The sequence below is a fragment of the Homo sapiens genome, chromosome 7 (assembly GCF_000001405.40).
Source record: "Homo sapiens chromosome 7, GRCh38.p14 Primary Assembly".
In the NCBI taxonomy this organism is placed as follows: Eukaryota; Metazoa; Chordata; class Mammalia; order Primates; family Hominidae; genus Homo; species Homo sapiens.
In genome coordinates, this window is record NC_000007.14 from 145,428,116 (window position 1) to 145,444,260 (window position 16,145).

At 36.5% G+C, this 16,145-nt stretch overlaps 1 annotated feature.

The window, feature by feature from the left end:
* Positions 15,248–15,448: a silencer, noted in NCBI's record as "peak6815 fragment used in MPRA reporter construct". NCBI's record gives its function as "represses an SCP1 promoter by STARR-seq MPRAs in K562 erythroleukemia cells {active_cell/tissue: K562}" and the evidence as "EXISTENCE:reporter gene assay evidence [ECO:0000049][PMID:32103011]".

The following is a 16,145-nucleotide window of genomic DNA, read 5'->3' on the forward strand; positions in this document are numbered from 1 at the left end:
ATTCACGTGCAGCATTCCCAGCCTGGGAAAGGCATGGCAAGCAGGGTTTCAATAACTTTCAGAGATGAAGTCTTCATCCCACCTCAGGGAAGACACTGTGGCCAGCCCCAGGTAGGTACAGCTGAGGATAAGGAACATTTATGCCCAAACATCCAGGCATCAGTCTAAAATCACCCATCCTACCAAGAACCAAGAATATCTCAGCTGGAATGGAAAAAGATAGTCAATAGACACCAACACTGAGATGACGGTAATGTTTAAATTATTCGACAAGTTAAAGCAGCAGTTATAAGATGCTTCAAGGAGCAATTATGAATATTCTTGAAACAAGTGAAAACAATAGCAAGTCTTGGCAAAAATAAAAATAGAAAGTCATGATAAAGAAAGTAGAAAATAAAAATGAAAAATAACCATATGAAAATTTTATTACTGAAAAAATGGAATAACTGAAATTTTCATAAATGTAATGGATGGGTTCAGAAGCAGAATGGAGGGGACAAAATCAAAATAGGAGAGTAGAAATTACCTAATCCTAACAACCACATGAAAGTGACTGAAAATAAAAAAGAAAAGAAAATGTCGGGCGCAGTGGCTCACGCCTGTAATCCCAGCACTTTGGGAGGCCAAGGCGGGTGGATAATGAGGTCAGGAGATCAAGACCATCCTGGCCAACATGGTGAAACCCTGTCTTTACTAGACATACAAAAATTAGCCGGGCGTGGTGGTAGGTGCCTGTAATCCCAGCTACTTGGAAGGCTGAGGCAGGAGAATCGCTTGAACTTGGAGGCTGTAGTGAGCCGAGATCACACCACTGCACTCCAGCCTGGCAACAGAGCGAGACTCTATCTCAAAAAAGAAGAAAAGAAAAGAAAGAAAAGAAAAGAAGAAAAGAAAAGAAAAGAAAGAAAGGATCTTCAGGGACCTGTGGGAAAATGAAAAATGTCATCAGAGTGTAGAAGGAGAGGAGAAAAAGGGCAGGGCTGCAAAAATACTCAATGAAGTAATGGTTTCTCAAACGACATAAACTTAAAGATTTGAGGAGCCAAGCAAACTTCAAATAAGATAAATCCTAAGAAATGCACATCAGGATCCATCATAGACAAACTGCTGAAAACAAAAGTCTAGTTTGAGACTAGACTAGATTTTAGTTTTTGTAATGATTGTTTGTTGTTTTTCCTCTGCTATATTCTGGTCATACAAGGTTGAAAGAAAAGGTATGATACTGAATGATAAACCAGGAAATAGTTCTGCCAGTAAAGTGAAAGGGAACAATGGAGTAGGAATGACAAAAATCACAACAAAGAGAGTAGTGCCTGGAAGCAGAAAGAAGGCTGCAGTGAGGAGTCACATACATTGGCAGGTGGTCTCTCTCTCTCTGTCAGGGACTGTGAACCCTCCCATTTGCCATTAATTGCCTTTGCTGCTTAGGTTTGTTTGTGAATTTGGGGTCTTGGTGAAAACATACATAATTTAACTCCAGTATTTTTCTATTCAGACTTAGGAGCTGATTCAATTATGGTCAGATTCTATGATGAACAATAATTATTGAAACCAATACCTTAGTGTAAAAAAGAAAAGGAAGGAGGAAAGAAAAGGAAAGAGATAAGAATGTGGAGAACAGCAAGAGGAGAGAGGGAAAAGAGAGGAATGGAGAAAGAAATAGAGGGAAGGAAAGAAAGAGGAAAAAATCTGAGAGAGTAAAGATATAGAAAAAAAATTTCCATATAGAGGAACTGAGATAATGTATTAGTGTGTTCTCACACTGCTGTTAAAGACATACCTGAGACTGGGTAATTTATAAAGAAAAAGAGATTTAATGGACTCACAGTTCCATGTGGCTTGGGAGGCCTCACAATCATAGCAGAAGGCAAAAGGCACATCTTACATGGCAGCAGACGAGAGAATGAAAAACTAAGTGAAAGGGGAAACCCCTTATAAAATCATCAGATCTCATAAGACTTATTCACTGCCACGAGAACAGTATGGGGGAAACAGCCCCCATGATTCAGTTATCTCCAGCTGGGTCCATCCCACAACAAGGAATTATGCGAGCTACAATTCAAAATGAAATTTGGGTGGGGACACAGCCAAACCATATCAGATGACAAATATTTTTATCTTTGAATCCTTAAACATCTATTTTTATGAACATTTAATACCCAATCTGAATAGTCAGAAAAAAGCACAAGCCTACTACATATACCAGCATCTCAGAGATATTGTGGGTTTGGTTCCAGGCCACCATAAACAAAACAAACAGCACAATAAGGTGAATCACACAATTTTTTTATTTCCCTGTACATATAAAAGTTATGTTTACAAGATACTGTAAGTAAGTGTGCAATAGCATTACCTCTAAATATATATATATATGTATATATAGTAATTTTAAAATACTTTGTTGCTAGTAAATGCAAAGAATAATCGGAACCTTCAACAAGTCATAATGTTTTGGCTGGTGGAGGGATGGTCTTGCCCTGACATGGATGGCTAGCTGATCACTAATCAGATTGGAGTGACTGTGGCAAATAAGATAACAATAAACTTTGCTGCATAAATTGACTCTTCATTTCGTGAAAGATTTATCTGTAGTATGTGATGCTGTTTGATAGCATTTTACTCATAGTAGAACTTATTTCAAAATTGGGGTCAATCCTCTTAAACCCTGCTGCTGCTTTATTAATTAGATTTATGTAATATTCTAAATCTTTTGTTGTCATTTCAACAATGTTCATAGCATCTTCATCAAAAGTAGATTCCATCTCAATAAACCACTTTCTTTGCTCATCCATAAGAAGCAACTCCTCACTGTGAAAGTTTGATCATGAGATTGTGGCATTCAGTCATACCTTCAGACTCCACTTCTAATTCTTGTCATTAATGAGGATTGGAATCAACTTCTTTCAACCTCCTATTAATGTTGATATTCTGACCTCCTCCCATTAATCACAAATGTTCCTAATGGAATCTAGAAAGATTTATCCTTCCCAGAAGTTTTCAATTTACTTTGCCCGGATCCATCAGACGAATCGCTGTTGATGGAGCTATAGCCTTATCAATGTATTTCTTAAATAATAAGATATGAAAATCACAATTACTCCTTGGTCTGTGTGCTGTGGAATAGATGTTGTGTTAACAGGCATGAAAACAACATTAATATTCTTGTACATCTCCATCAGAGCTCTTGGGTGAATAGGTGTCTTGTCAATAAGCAGTAATATTTCAAAAGGAATCTTCTTTTTGAGCATGAGGTCTCAACAGTGGGCTTAAAATATTTGATCCAATTATAGAGCATAGGCAGAGTAGATTGACCATGAATCTTAAGGTCACGAGAATTTTCAGAATGGTAAATGAGCACTGGGTCTTCAACTTAAAGTCACCAGCTGCATTATGCCCTAATGAGAGTCTGCTTGTCTTTGACGATTCGAAGCCAGGCATTGACTTCTCTTCTCTAGCTATGAAAGTCCTAGATGGCATTATTTTTTAAATAGAAGGCTGTTTTGTCTACATTGAAATCTGTTGTTTCATGTAGCCACCTTTATCAGTGATCTTACTAGATATTCTGGATAACTTGCTGCAGCTTCTTCACCAGCACTTGATGCTTTACCTTGCACTTTTATGTTACAGAGATGGCTTCTTACCTTAAATCTTATGAATCGACTTCTACTAGCTTCAGACTTTTCCTCTGCAGCTTTCTCAGCTCTGTCAGCCTTCATAGAATTGAAAAGAGGGGCTTTCTGTGGATTATTAGCCTTTGGATTAAGGGAACGATTTGGCTGATTTGATCTTCTATCCAGACCATTAAAACTTTCTCCATGTCAGCAATAAGGTTATTTCACTGTTAGGCAAAAAAGGCCTAGTTTTTGGTCTGTCTCAGCTTTCAAGGTACTTTCCTCACTAAGCTTAATCATTTCTAGTTTTTGATTCAAAGTGAGAGAAGTGTGACTCTTCCTTTCACTTGAGCACTTAGAGGCTGTTGTAGGGTTATTAGTTGGCCTAATTTCAATATTGTTGCATCTCAGAGAATAAGAAGTCCTGAGGAGAAGGAGAGATGAGGGAATGACTGATCAGTGGAGCAGTCAGACCCACACAACATTTATCCATTAATTTTGCTATTTTATATGGGTGCAGTTTGGGCACCCCAAAGCAATTACAATGGTAACATCAAAGATCACTGGTCACAGATTACCGTAACAGATATAATATTAATGGAAAAGTTTAAAATATGGTGAGAATAACCAACATGTAATACACAGACCTGACACAAATGCAGGCTGTTGGAAAAATGACACTGTTAGACTTGCTGGAGGCAGGGTTGTCATAAACCTTCAATTTGTGAAATACGCAGTATCTGTGAAGTGCAATCAAACTAAGCTCAATAAAATGAGGTGTGCCCATAGATCATTTCATAAAGATTTCTGAGTGAATACTGTGGCTAAACTTACATAGAGGAAACAGTCTTGGCTTTGACTTCCATCTGACCTACTATCCAGCTGCCAGAGAGAAACTAGATACTATTATACAGACATTGACGATTACAGAGGTTAAGGAGGTATGCGTTACTTAGTCTACCAAGAGTCTTTCACATCTACAAGGAGAGATTATGCCGTGTTGCTAATTTTGAAGTCTTTCCCCAAAGAAAATGAAGCTAATATGAAATAAACTGAGAAAATACTTAGAATTTTCGTAGAGTTAACAGACATGTTCTATTCTGTAATGGTGGGACCCTGACAAAAACATTTTAGAGGCGTGGGAAGGTTGAGGAAGAGTTCACTGTATGTCTAATCATTGCCTAATTTGAATCTAGAAGCACACGGAGGCAAGGATAACATGACAAGCAGCTGAAGGACAGGAGGCCAAGTGCATGTGGTGCCAAACACACCTTCACTTACAAAGGATCTTCCCTCTAGGAATGGAAAGAAGCGGTATGATGTACCATGTACAAACTCCATGGAATGAGGTCAGAAAGGGTGGATGCTCTATTGGAGACTGTCCTCAGAAAACATGCTTCTTCCTGGAAAGCTGACATTTCCTCCCAGCTTTCAGCAGGAGAATAAAAAGAGGCAAGCATTTTCAGGAGTGTTGGGATGGAGGATTGTGGAGGGGTTAGAAAAATCGGGGTAGGATGGGTGCAAAAGGCAGTTCTAGAGGGTGAAAATAACTGCAGCCTGCGTGGGAGAAAGAGAGGGCTGAGAGCTTGATTTTGGGAGAAGTGAGAGAAAGACTGCTAGCTAGTCAAGAAAGTGTTAAGACTATGCTGGGATAAGGAGTTTGGGCTTGATCTAATAAGTACTGAGATTGCTAGTAGGAGGAAATAGATAACATATGTGAGAGCACTTAGTAAGTGGAAAGACTGTATGCTAATGTGAGGCATTACGACAGTTATTCTCATCCACTGCAGGTTCCTGGGCAGGGGAGTAACATGATAAAAGCTCCGCTTTAGGAGAGTAGTGTGGAAATAATGTGCAGAAAGGCCTGTAGAGGAGAGAGAGGGAGAGGCAAGGGGATCCGCAGGCCTCTGCTGACACCAGCAGAACTGAGACTTTCAAAGTATTCCTTGAAAAGTGAATGTCCTCCTCTGTCTCCTTTCCCTCCCCACCATGCCCTGAGGAAAGCCTCCTTTTTGCCTGAATGCAATTAGATCCTGTTTCCGTTTTTTAGGTAAAGACAAAAGTGGTAAAGGGTGAGGAATTTTACAAGTGCTGGCCATAGTAGCTGTCTATCTGTGCTGCTGCTTCTGTATTTGGCTGAGCGCATCTATCTCTTCCTCCTTCTCTTCTCATTCAAGAGAGATGGGTGTCACAGTGGTAACACAGATCTGTTTGTCGTTCTACAAAGAGAAACTGAATTAGAGCAGAAGCTGGACCTCTGATTCTCACTTACTCATGGCTTGGGGGGATCCTAGATACACACCTTATACTACTAATCCAATATAAGGTGAACTCAGCATCTCGTTTCTGCTTCTTCCAAAATTAAGCTTCTAGGCTGAGTGTGGTGGCTCGCGCCTGTAATCCCAGCACTTTGGGGGGCCGAAGTAGGTGGATCACTGGGGGTCAGGTGTTCGAGACTAGCCTGGCCAACATGGTGAAACCCCGTCTCTACTAAAAACACAAAAGTTAGCAGAGCGTGGTGGCAGGTGCCCGTAGTCCCAGCTACTCAGGAGGCTGAGGCAAGAGAATCACTTGAACCCGGGAAGCGGAGGTTGCAGTGAGCTGAGATCATGCCACTGCTCTCCACCCTGGGCTACAGAGCAAGACTCCGTCCCAAAAAAAAAAAAAAAAAAAAGTAAGCTTCTAAACCAAACCCCTTGTGGGCCTTGTAACCAATTTTAATACCTCGTTAACAACAACAAAAACGTAATGAAAAAAACCCATGCATTTTTAAACAAGATAAGTCCTTAGGGATGGAAAAAGACCTTAAGACCTAATGTATATAGAAAGGAGAAAACATTACATAGAATAAAGGGTCAAGGTGGATAATACAAAACTTCAATTCAGAGAGAAAAATGAGTGTCCTACAGGTTGAGTGATGGATTGCTGGTAACAAAATTAGAAATCAATATGCTGTATAGAAATTAGTCAGTGTAAGACCAATAGCAAAATACAGTAATCATTTTTAGAGATGAGATTGAGAATAAAAACAGAAGTATTTGGATCAAAGTGGAAGTCACCACACATTTGTCAAGGGAAAAAAAGCAAAGACTGTCAAAATATCATAGTCTTTTCTTTTTCCTTCTTTCTGGGAAAGTTTAAATAAACAAAAAGCCCCCAAGCAGTCAACCCTTATAAGTGTGTCAGAAGAAGAACCACACTAACAGTAACATCTGCTGGTAAGCAATAGTATTTGCACACATCATTTGCTATTTACGTCATTGCAATAGGCATCTTTTTGTAGGCTGTCTTGGAACGCTAGTCTGATTATCAGCATGTGCTCACCATGCTTACTGTGAAGCTAGGAAGAGTGGCTGATGAGGTCTGAGCCTTTTAATATAGAGTCTTTCCAAATACGTGCATGTGAGCGAATGCGCACGCGCACAACACACACACACACACACACACACACACACACACAACCAACTACTCACCCTGTCTTTACTCAAGGAAAGTATGTAAAAGACATTAGCTTCTAGACTTTCTTACTTCATAATGCTCCACAGTGAAGTGCTTTATAACTTACCATCATTATGTTTATTTATGAAATAGCAAAAATGAGTAAGAAACCCTGAGATTCTTTACTGTAACCATGGTGATGTTGTAGGGCTAGGGAATTGTGCACTTCTGTTATAGAAAGCAAGAGAGTGTGCTCAAGATCACAAGGAAGGCAAAGATAAAGGGAAATAATGAATCGCCTTATAGTGAAAGAAAAGACGAATGCTGGAGCATAAAACATGCATGTGCTTCAGATCACATCTTATCATTTATAGATCTTAAGAGGGAGCAGTTGTTTTGTTCTGATAGTGCTCTTGTTCTTTCTGTCCTGGATTCAGGATGGAGTGGTTTAGGTAGACAAAATGATGAGCCTAGGGCTTATGGATAAGGCTTTGTTGTACATGAAGCTCAATCTGTGTTATCCTGGATGGAAGAATCCTCTAAAAGGAAATAAATATATCCAGCTTGAGGTCATACTGGCCCTCTTGATTATTTATGTATGTGATAGGAGTAATTTGAATGTAAAGATAGGGCTTAATATATACAAATGTCATAATTGTATGTATATAATCGTACATATTATTTTTTCTTCATACCCATACTAATAGTCTGTACCCATACTAATGTGTGTGAAGAAAAAGGATTAATAATGTGTAATGGTCTTCTGACTCACTTGGGTAGTCTATTGACATTTAGGGATGTAGATGAGGACCAATAGGTAAGAGAAAAACAGAAACTGTATAGGAGGTGATGAACCTATGTAGGGTGGTATGGTAGAGGTAATAAGTCTTCAGGGGAACCAGTGACTGTATTACTTGACAAAGTCAAGCTGGTTTTTCTGAAAAAGGAAGTATGGGAAGTAGACGTGGAATTTCCCCAGTAGAGATAAAAACATTGGGAATGATGTTAAAAAAAAAAAAAAAAGACAGAGAGATGTTGGGTAAAATATAGTGAAGGTGGAACAGCATTGGGTCTACAGAGAGAAGATCAGCATGAAAGCTGGTGAAGTGTTCCATGCCTGCTGTGACAACACAGCTTACTACAAATGAAAGGTCTTGCATTCAAGTCCACTCTGTAGCCTGAAATATAAAGAAAGGAATGCTATCCTGCCACTTACTTTCTAATAAAGTATTTGGGGGCCTTCCTAGCTCAACTTATGTGCTTTTGTTGTAATTAGATTCGAATATGTAGTTTGAGGAATGTGCATGTTTTCCAACATTTTTAGGGTTTTTATTTTATATCCTGAAAATGGTTATGTTTTATAATAGTTCTCTTTTTTCCCCCAACAGATTCACTAACAAAATGGACACATTAACTTTACACTATGTTACAGTTACGGATTATATTTTAATATCAGACAGCTGTTTTTGTATCATGTATAGTTCCAAAGAGGGCAGTAGGAAATAATGCAAATGGCTCTGTTAGCCAGTCCCCAAATGCTGTAAAGGCGCTCAGAGCACAAGGCCTTTTGTGGATGTGTGTGAGTCAGTGATATCATTTCTAAACATTAAAGATAAATTGAATTTAAGGATAATGAAAACCTTGCATTTTTAGTTATGGTAACGCCTCACTTTTTTAGAGACCTCTATTTACAACTTCAAATGTTTAGAATACAGTCAATTAACCTGTAGTGAGCAAGACAAGACATCACCAGACCTCTGGGATGTTATTAAAGTAATTTAAGTTCACTTAATTTTGGTGAGAGCATACATTTATATAACTGCTGAAAAAAGAATTTGGCTGCACGTATCTAGAACCTAAATTTTTTATAATCTTAGAATTTGAATTCACAACTACAAACCCATGTTGAAGTTTTCATTGGAATAAGATGCTTTTCATAGAATTATAGATCAAAATGGAAATAAAATACCAACATTATGTGAAACAAACAGAAAATGTTCAACAAACCATGACATAGTCACATTAGGAAGTTTATGCAGAAATAAAAGTTGTCTTTGAAAATAATTTATTGACAGGGAAAAATATTCCAATTTAAATGATAAGTGAAAAAAAGCAGGATACAAGCTGTGGCATTAAAAATAATATTAATAATAATGATAATCATTCTAATAGTAATAATATTAAAATGTATATAATATAAAGCATACTAAAATGTGGAATTATTTCTGGCAGCTGAGATTAAGGTTCATGTATTCTGCATATTTAAACTCATGTACATTTTATAATTTTAAAAATAATGAACATATGCTAATTTTACAGTCAGAAAAAAAGACAGAGAACAAACAAATAACTTTTATAAAATGCAAGCTCATATACTTTACTTTTGAATGATCTCTCATAGCCAGCAAATTCTTATTTTAAACATTTAATGATTGGATTTCAAGCTAACAGCAAATTGGTAGCAGAAACTTAAAAGGAGGGATGATGAGGAACTACTATAAAGAGACACAGTGACAAAAATATGAAAAGTAAACGACAACTTGCCACCCATGAGAGAAACGGGAATATTATGGGAAAACGTGCAAGTCCTCTAAAATCATAGCACACTGAGGCCATTTTAAATAAAGACTAATGAGCTACCAATCCCAGCAGCCTTTCAGAAAATCAATAAAATGTGAGAGAAAAGGTCTTTGCTGAAAATTAAAGTAACTTCATTTTAGTTCCTGCTCCTGACATTTCCTAGCGTGTGATTTTGAAGAAGTTTATGGAATATCTTTAAGACTCAGAATTCTCAGCTTCTAAATGGAAAAAAAGCACGTAATTTTTATTAGTTTGTACATCTTTTTCACAATCCACTGAGGTCATGTAAAAGTGTTTCAATAATCCCTTTTGCACATTTGGGATGCTAATAGTATGTGGTATATTAACTAATGCTAATAAGTCCAAATCAATAAACATTAAAAATTTTTTTTATGTGTAGTCTAATAGAAATAGGTATACCACGCTTTAGAAATACACACACACACATATGTGTATAATCTTATACATATATATGTATAAGATATATATATGTGTGTGTATATATATGTGTGTGTGTATTTCTAAAGCATATATATATATATATATATATACACACATACTTGCAAATAGATTACAATGAATATATTTTGTCTATCTCTGGAACGTCTCTTGTTTTGGGAGATATTGTGGCGTGATGGAATGACTTGGGGTTTGGGGCCAGGCAGATTTGGCTCAGGTCCTGGGCTATTTTATCACTTAGCTAAATGGCCTTAGGTAGGTTTATTCTCTCTGAGTTTTAATGTCTTCATCTGAAATGTGCTGAACTCATGTAGATTAGTAGTCACTGCTCAGTATCTAGTAATTATTTCATTTTTTAAAGTAGAAAGAGTCGGTCATCTTGTAAAAATTATTAGGTGGCACGGTTTGATCTCAGAGAATTTTGGATAATAAGGTGCATCTGCATTTCAAAATTCTACAGGATCAACCTGAGGATGTATTACCTGTCATTTCAGGTAATAAAATATTACCTCATTTACCAGACAATAACTAGATAATGCCTCTACCTCTGAGTGCACAGTGGTAATAACTGCTCTGGGAAAAACCTTGTCATTGAGGAGATTGAAACTATTGGTTAGATTATATTTTAGACTATTTGTAAATTACAATTATTCATTCATAATTAGGTGCCAATAAGAGATGTTAGTGGCTTTATTATCATGGCTTTAAAAAATACTGCATCTTCAAGTTGGAGAAGAGAACCAGGAGTAGTCAAGAAAATCTGAATAGTCATACTCCTCATTAAAATTGAGCACAGAAACTATCTTATAAACTTAATAGAACTAATACTGCCTGTTTGGCATGCAGATTTTCTTGAATTTTAATAATATAAAAATATTGCTTAGAATCAATGTATTCTAAAGTTATGAATATCTGTGGAAGACATATTTCATGATGATGCAAATTCTAAGCTGGTGAAACACAGTATAAAAGGGAAATAGACTGGGAATAAAAACATCTGCTTCTGTTAAGTTACACAGATGGTTCTCCAGGAAATCTCTTTTTTGAGATTGATTTGAACCAGTTCTCCCAGCATAGTACGTGTGTGATGGGTCAATATTTTCTTCTTTTTTTTTCTGCTTTCTTTTGGGGACAATAAGTCTGCTTTAGGATTCTGGAGTTGGAAAAGCCACCTTGCAAAAAATCTAAATGCGATTTTCTATTCTCTTATTTAACCATTGATTTTTGTTTTCAAAGTCATATTAGTTGTGGATATCACAGAACAATCTTCCACATAGTAGAATTCTTCACTTTGAACTCAGGGAAATGCTGGGTTTAAATGTATACTTGGCTTGAGGATTTTGAGCTTTCCCAGAAGCCACTGCAGTCTCTCCAGTCTTCAGGTGTGCCTCTCCACATTGCCATCTGTGGCATACAGCCTTGAAGTTGGCCCCCAATGACCCCCTCTTACTGGTAATCATGCCCTTGTATTATACCCTCCTTTTGAGTAGGCGCTGGACCTAGCAGCTTACTTAAAAACAAATAGGGTAGTGGCAGAAGTGACGGTATGTCACTGACAAGATTGGGTTATTAAAAACTGTGCTTCCATCTTGGTATTATTCACTCTGAGGAAGCCAGATGGCATGTTGTGAGAATGTTTAGGAAGCCTGTGGATAGACCTCTGTGGCCCAAACGTCAATGGGGAAATGAATTCTACAAAAAACTATGTGAATGACATTAGAAACTGTCCTCCTGCCCTGATTGAGCCTTGAGGAGACTGCAGACAGCTTGACTGCAGCTTCATGAGAGACTCAGAGCTAGGCCTGCCCATCAAAACCATATGCATGCTCATGACCTTTGGAAACAGTGTAAGATGATAAATGTTTGTTGTTTTAAAATGCTAAGTTTTGGGGTATTTTACTATTGTCCTCCATTATTTCTTTATTAAAACGGGAATAATAATAGCTCCTGCAAGGGGGTGTTATGAGGATTAAAATATGATAATGTATATAGACTGCTTCTTTGCAAAGCACTTTTCAAATTGCATTGTTGGTTAAAAATTTTAGTCCGGTAAATGGTTTATCTGTTTTCAGAATAAAATCAATTTGAAAAATAAGCTATTCAAATTTTGGTTATGATGAAGAACAATTTTGAGAGCTATTTAAATTAGAATTTTATATACAACAGAGCCTCATATGGGAAAATTATTCATATATATATACAGTATTGCTAAATATGGATATATTAGTTCTACACACAGGGATATGTTTTTAAGAAAACGTAGTTATAAAATAACAGGTAAGAGAAATCTGATTAATTTAGATTGTTGTTAACAACAAACTCCAGCTAAACCAGAGAAAGAATCATATGAACCCCAGATGTTCTTTCAGCTGGTGAAAAAAAGAAAGACAAGCAGAGTGTACTTTATTTGGACTTACCTGGAGTCATACTTGACCTCCTGACCTCACAGCATTGTTGTGAGGGACTAATGAGATAATGCGAATAGTCAATGGTCAAACTAAATATCAATTCATTTAATAGAGGAATTAATAACAGTTTATTGAAAGTCTTCTCATTTCTACTTTGGTTATGTTGAGTTGCACCATAGTTAAGATGAGAGGCTTTATAAAGGATGATAATGATGGTGATTATAATGGATTTCTTAAGGTTTGAGATGGGGCAGGAAGCCAGAAAAATCTGCTTTCAATGAAGTAGGATGTTTTCCATTCCTAAGGACCTGGAGATAATGTCACACATTCCCAATCACTGAAGGTGCTGTTCAGAAAAAACACTTGACAGACACTTGTGAGTGAAAATGGAGAGCCTCAGTAGTTGGACATGTGAGGTTATGCCATGGAGAGTCAATGAAATGGGACAGGATCATCAATCAGTGTCGTGTTTAGGTTTTATCTCATAGGTGACTTAGAACAGTATCAAATCTATAGCAACCTCTAAATATGCCCTTAGAAATAAAAAAAAATTAGCATTAAAGAATTTTTGATAACAAGGCTGGAAATTTTTGCCACCAGTCATGCTGTCAACAGGGTGAATGGACACCAAGTAGAGTTTATTTATACTGAACAATGATACATATACATATATATGTACATATGTACATGTATGTACATATATATGTTACTCCTAGTTCAAGAGGAGATATTCTAGTATAGATGTATAGATGAAAATAATTTAGGGTGTCTAATTTTTTAATCCCAAATACTTATATATTTAAAAATTTGGATTTTTCTTTTCAAATTTCAGGAAGTAATACATGCATGTGCCGGAAATTATGTAAGAACACAAAAACTCTGGGGAAACCCTGTAGTCAAACATATTAGTATTTCTGCAGTGCAACTTATGATGATGTTTGGCTAGATAAAGGAATACTGTAGGAGTTTATTTTTATAGTAAAACACTTGTACATGAAATACAGGGAAAATAAAGACTATCCACATTCTAGTACTTCTTATTTCTATGAAAAATATTTTGTTAAAATTCGACCTAGTAAAGTTCGAATGTAAGCCAAATATCTCTCTATATTACAGCATTTGGTTGCCGCTGAGTCTTGAATAGGTGGATACATCATAATGATATTAGCATTGCCAGCAGGTTGTATTTGGGCATTTGATGATGGGTTAAGTTTATGATTCTTAAGTGATAATGCAGCAGCTGAGAATGGGATTTATCACTAAATGAGTTTGAGCACTAGATTTAGGTGAGAAAATATCAGTTTTTACAGCTTTTCAGATTGAGGTCTGAGAATGAAGAATTATGTATATACTATATAATTAGATAAAAGTAAAACATTTTATAATTTCACTTTAGATCACTGGTACATAAACAGTTAAATAAGTAATTGGACTTTTTGGACTGTTTTACTTATTAATGAAAAAGTCATAGGGATATGTAATTTGTCACATTCTCTTTAGTTTTCTATCGTTATTTTAACTGAGCAAATCCTGCACATGTGGATCAAAGTAGCTAAGAATAAAATTAGATTTTGATATTTAAGTTTTTTCAGTAATCAGCATGGTTCAAACATCTGGAAAAATTAGAATTTTTTTATATTTATATGTAATGTGTTTATGTATGAGAATAAATATCTATAATTAATTCACATGGATGTTTCCATCATAAGGATATATTTATACCTATATATATAAATGTGAAAAATATATATTTGTTAATTAAACAAACACACATCCAGCATATACCAAAGTCCTAAAAGGAACTTGATCAAAAAAATGAAAACAAAATTGGTATATCTTGTGTGCGATTAGGGCTGTGATTTTATTTTTAGTTGATATCAGAAGGAAGATGGCTACACATATGGATATATGAGTGGCTTAATTGGGATTGCATTTAGCTAACTACCGATATAATGGTTCTCTTGTTATTTTTAAAAAAAAATCAGGCCTGTGCAGTGACTCACGCCTGTAATCCCAGCACCTTGGGAGGCTGAGGCGGGTAGATCATTTGAGGTCAGGAGTTCGAGACCAGCCTGGCCAACATGGTGAAACCCCACCTCTACGCAAAATACAAAAATTAGCTGGGCATGGTGGTGTGCGCCTATAATCCCAGTTACTCAGGAGTCTGAGGCAGGAGAATTGCTTGATATCTGCCATATGCCATACCCTTCACCTACGGAAGTGTCCTAGTCTCTGAAAATTGGTTCCAAAATTAGAACTATTGAGACCTTGTATTCCTAGCACCTGTAACAAATTTCAAAACTGATAAGAATGAAGAATTCCAAATGTCTGATCTAAACCAAATGCAACTGGTTTGAAATTAATTATTGCATCTTATTAATAAAACTAATCTCAATAATTTTCTAAGGTTTTATAAAATGTTAAGTAGTTTTAGCTCTTATTGGGATGATGGAAAAATTTAATTCAAAGGTTACCAAATTTAGAGAGGGATTTCAAAAAACTGACAAGTGCTTACCTCCTTATTTTAATTGAAAAAAATCTTAATCAGAGAAACCACGTGCCTGATAGATCTCTTTGAACTGTGTCTAGAGCTGGAACTTTTCTAAATGTAAGGAAAAAGCCAGTAATTATCTTTACAATGAGATTTGATTAAGTAAAAGAGAAATTGAAAGAATACACATATTTGCTGCATAAAGCTGCCTTTCATTTATAAACTCACTTGTTATGTTCAACAAGGCCCTCCTGGTTCCTCCAAAAGCAAAATCCCCTACTCTCCATAGGTACAGGCCTCTCATTTCTGTTTACCTTATCTAGACTAAACACACTGGCTGAATGCGTTTATGTAGTCCCAAAAGGCTGTCAAAGTTATTCGGGTTTATGTAGCATAGCAGTTTTGGCAAACTCACCATGAGTCTACTTAGCAGAGGAAGCGGAATAATGGATCCAGTTCTACTAACCATGAATCCAGTTAGCAGAGGAAAAAGAGTAACAGATAATGTTTAACAAAGATGGGATTTAGGATTAGACAGTTTTTCACTGAAATCTCTGCTCTACATTGTGACACTGGGAAAAATAAACCTCTTTATGTCTTGATTTTCTCGGCTGCAAAGTGGGGCTAATAGTACCCTTTATACACTAATTTTGAGTATTAAATGGGATAATATAAAATACTCAGCAAAATACCTGGAATAGTTAGGTGTTTAATAAATAGTAGTTATTTTTATTGCAATAATAAATACAGTAATCCTCAATGCAGGGCTCTGAAGAGGTTTTCTGGTAGTCATTGAAGTTACAGAAAATAGTGACCCAAGTTAAAAGTTGATCTATAATACAGAGGGTATGTGTGTCTTACTGCAGCCTGGCTATTACAAAATACCCTGCACTGGGTGGCTAATAAAGAACATAAATCTATTTCTCACACTTTGGAGGTGGCAAGTCCAAAATAAAAGTGCTAGCAGACTCATTGTCTCGTGAGAGCACGCTTTTTCATAGATGGCACATTCTCACTGTGTCCTTACATGGCAGAAGGGGACTAGCTAGCTCTCTGGGGTCTCCTTTATTTTTGTTTTATTTATTTATTTATTTATTTTTGAAATGGAGTTTTGCTCTTGTTGCCCAGGCTGGAGTGCAGTGGCACGATCTCGGCTCA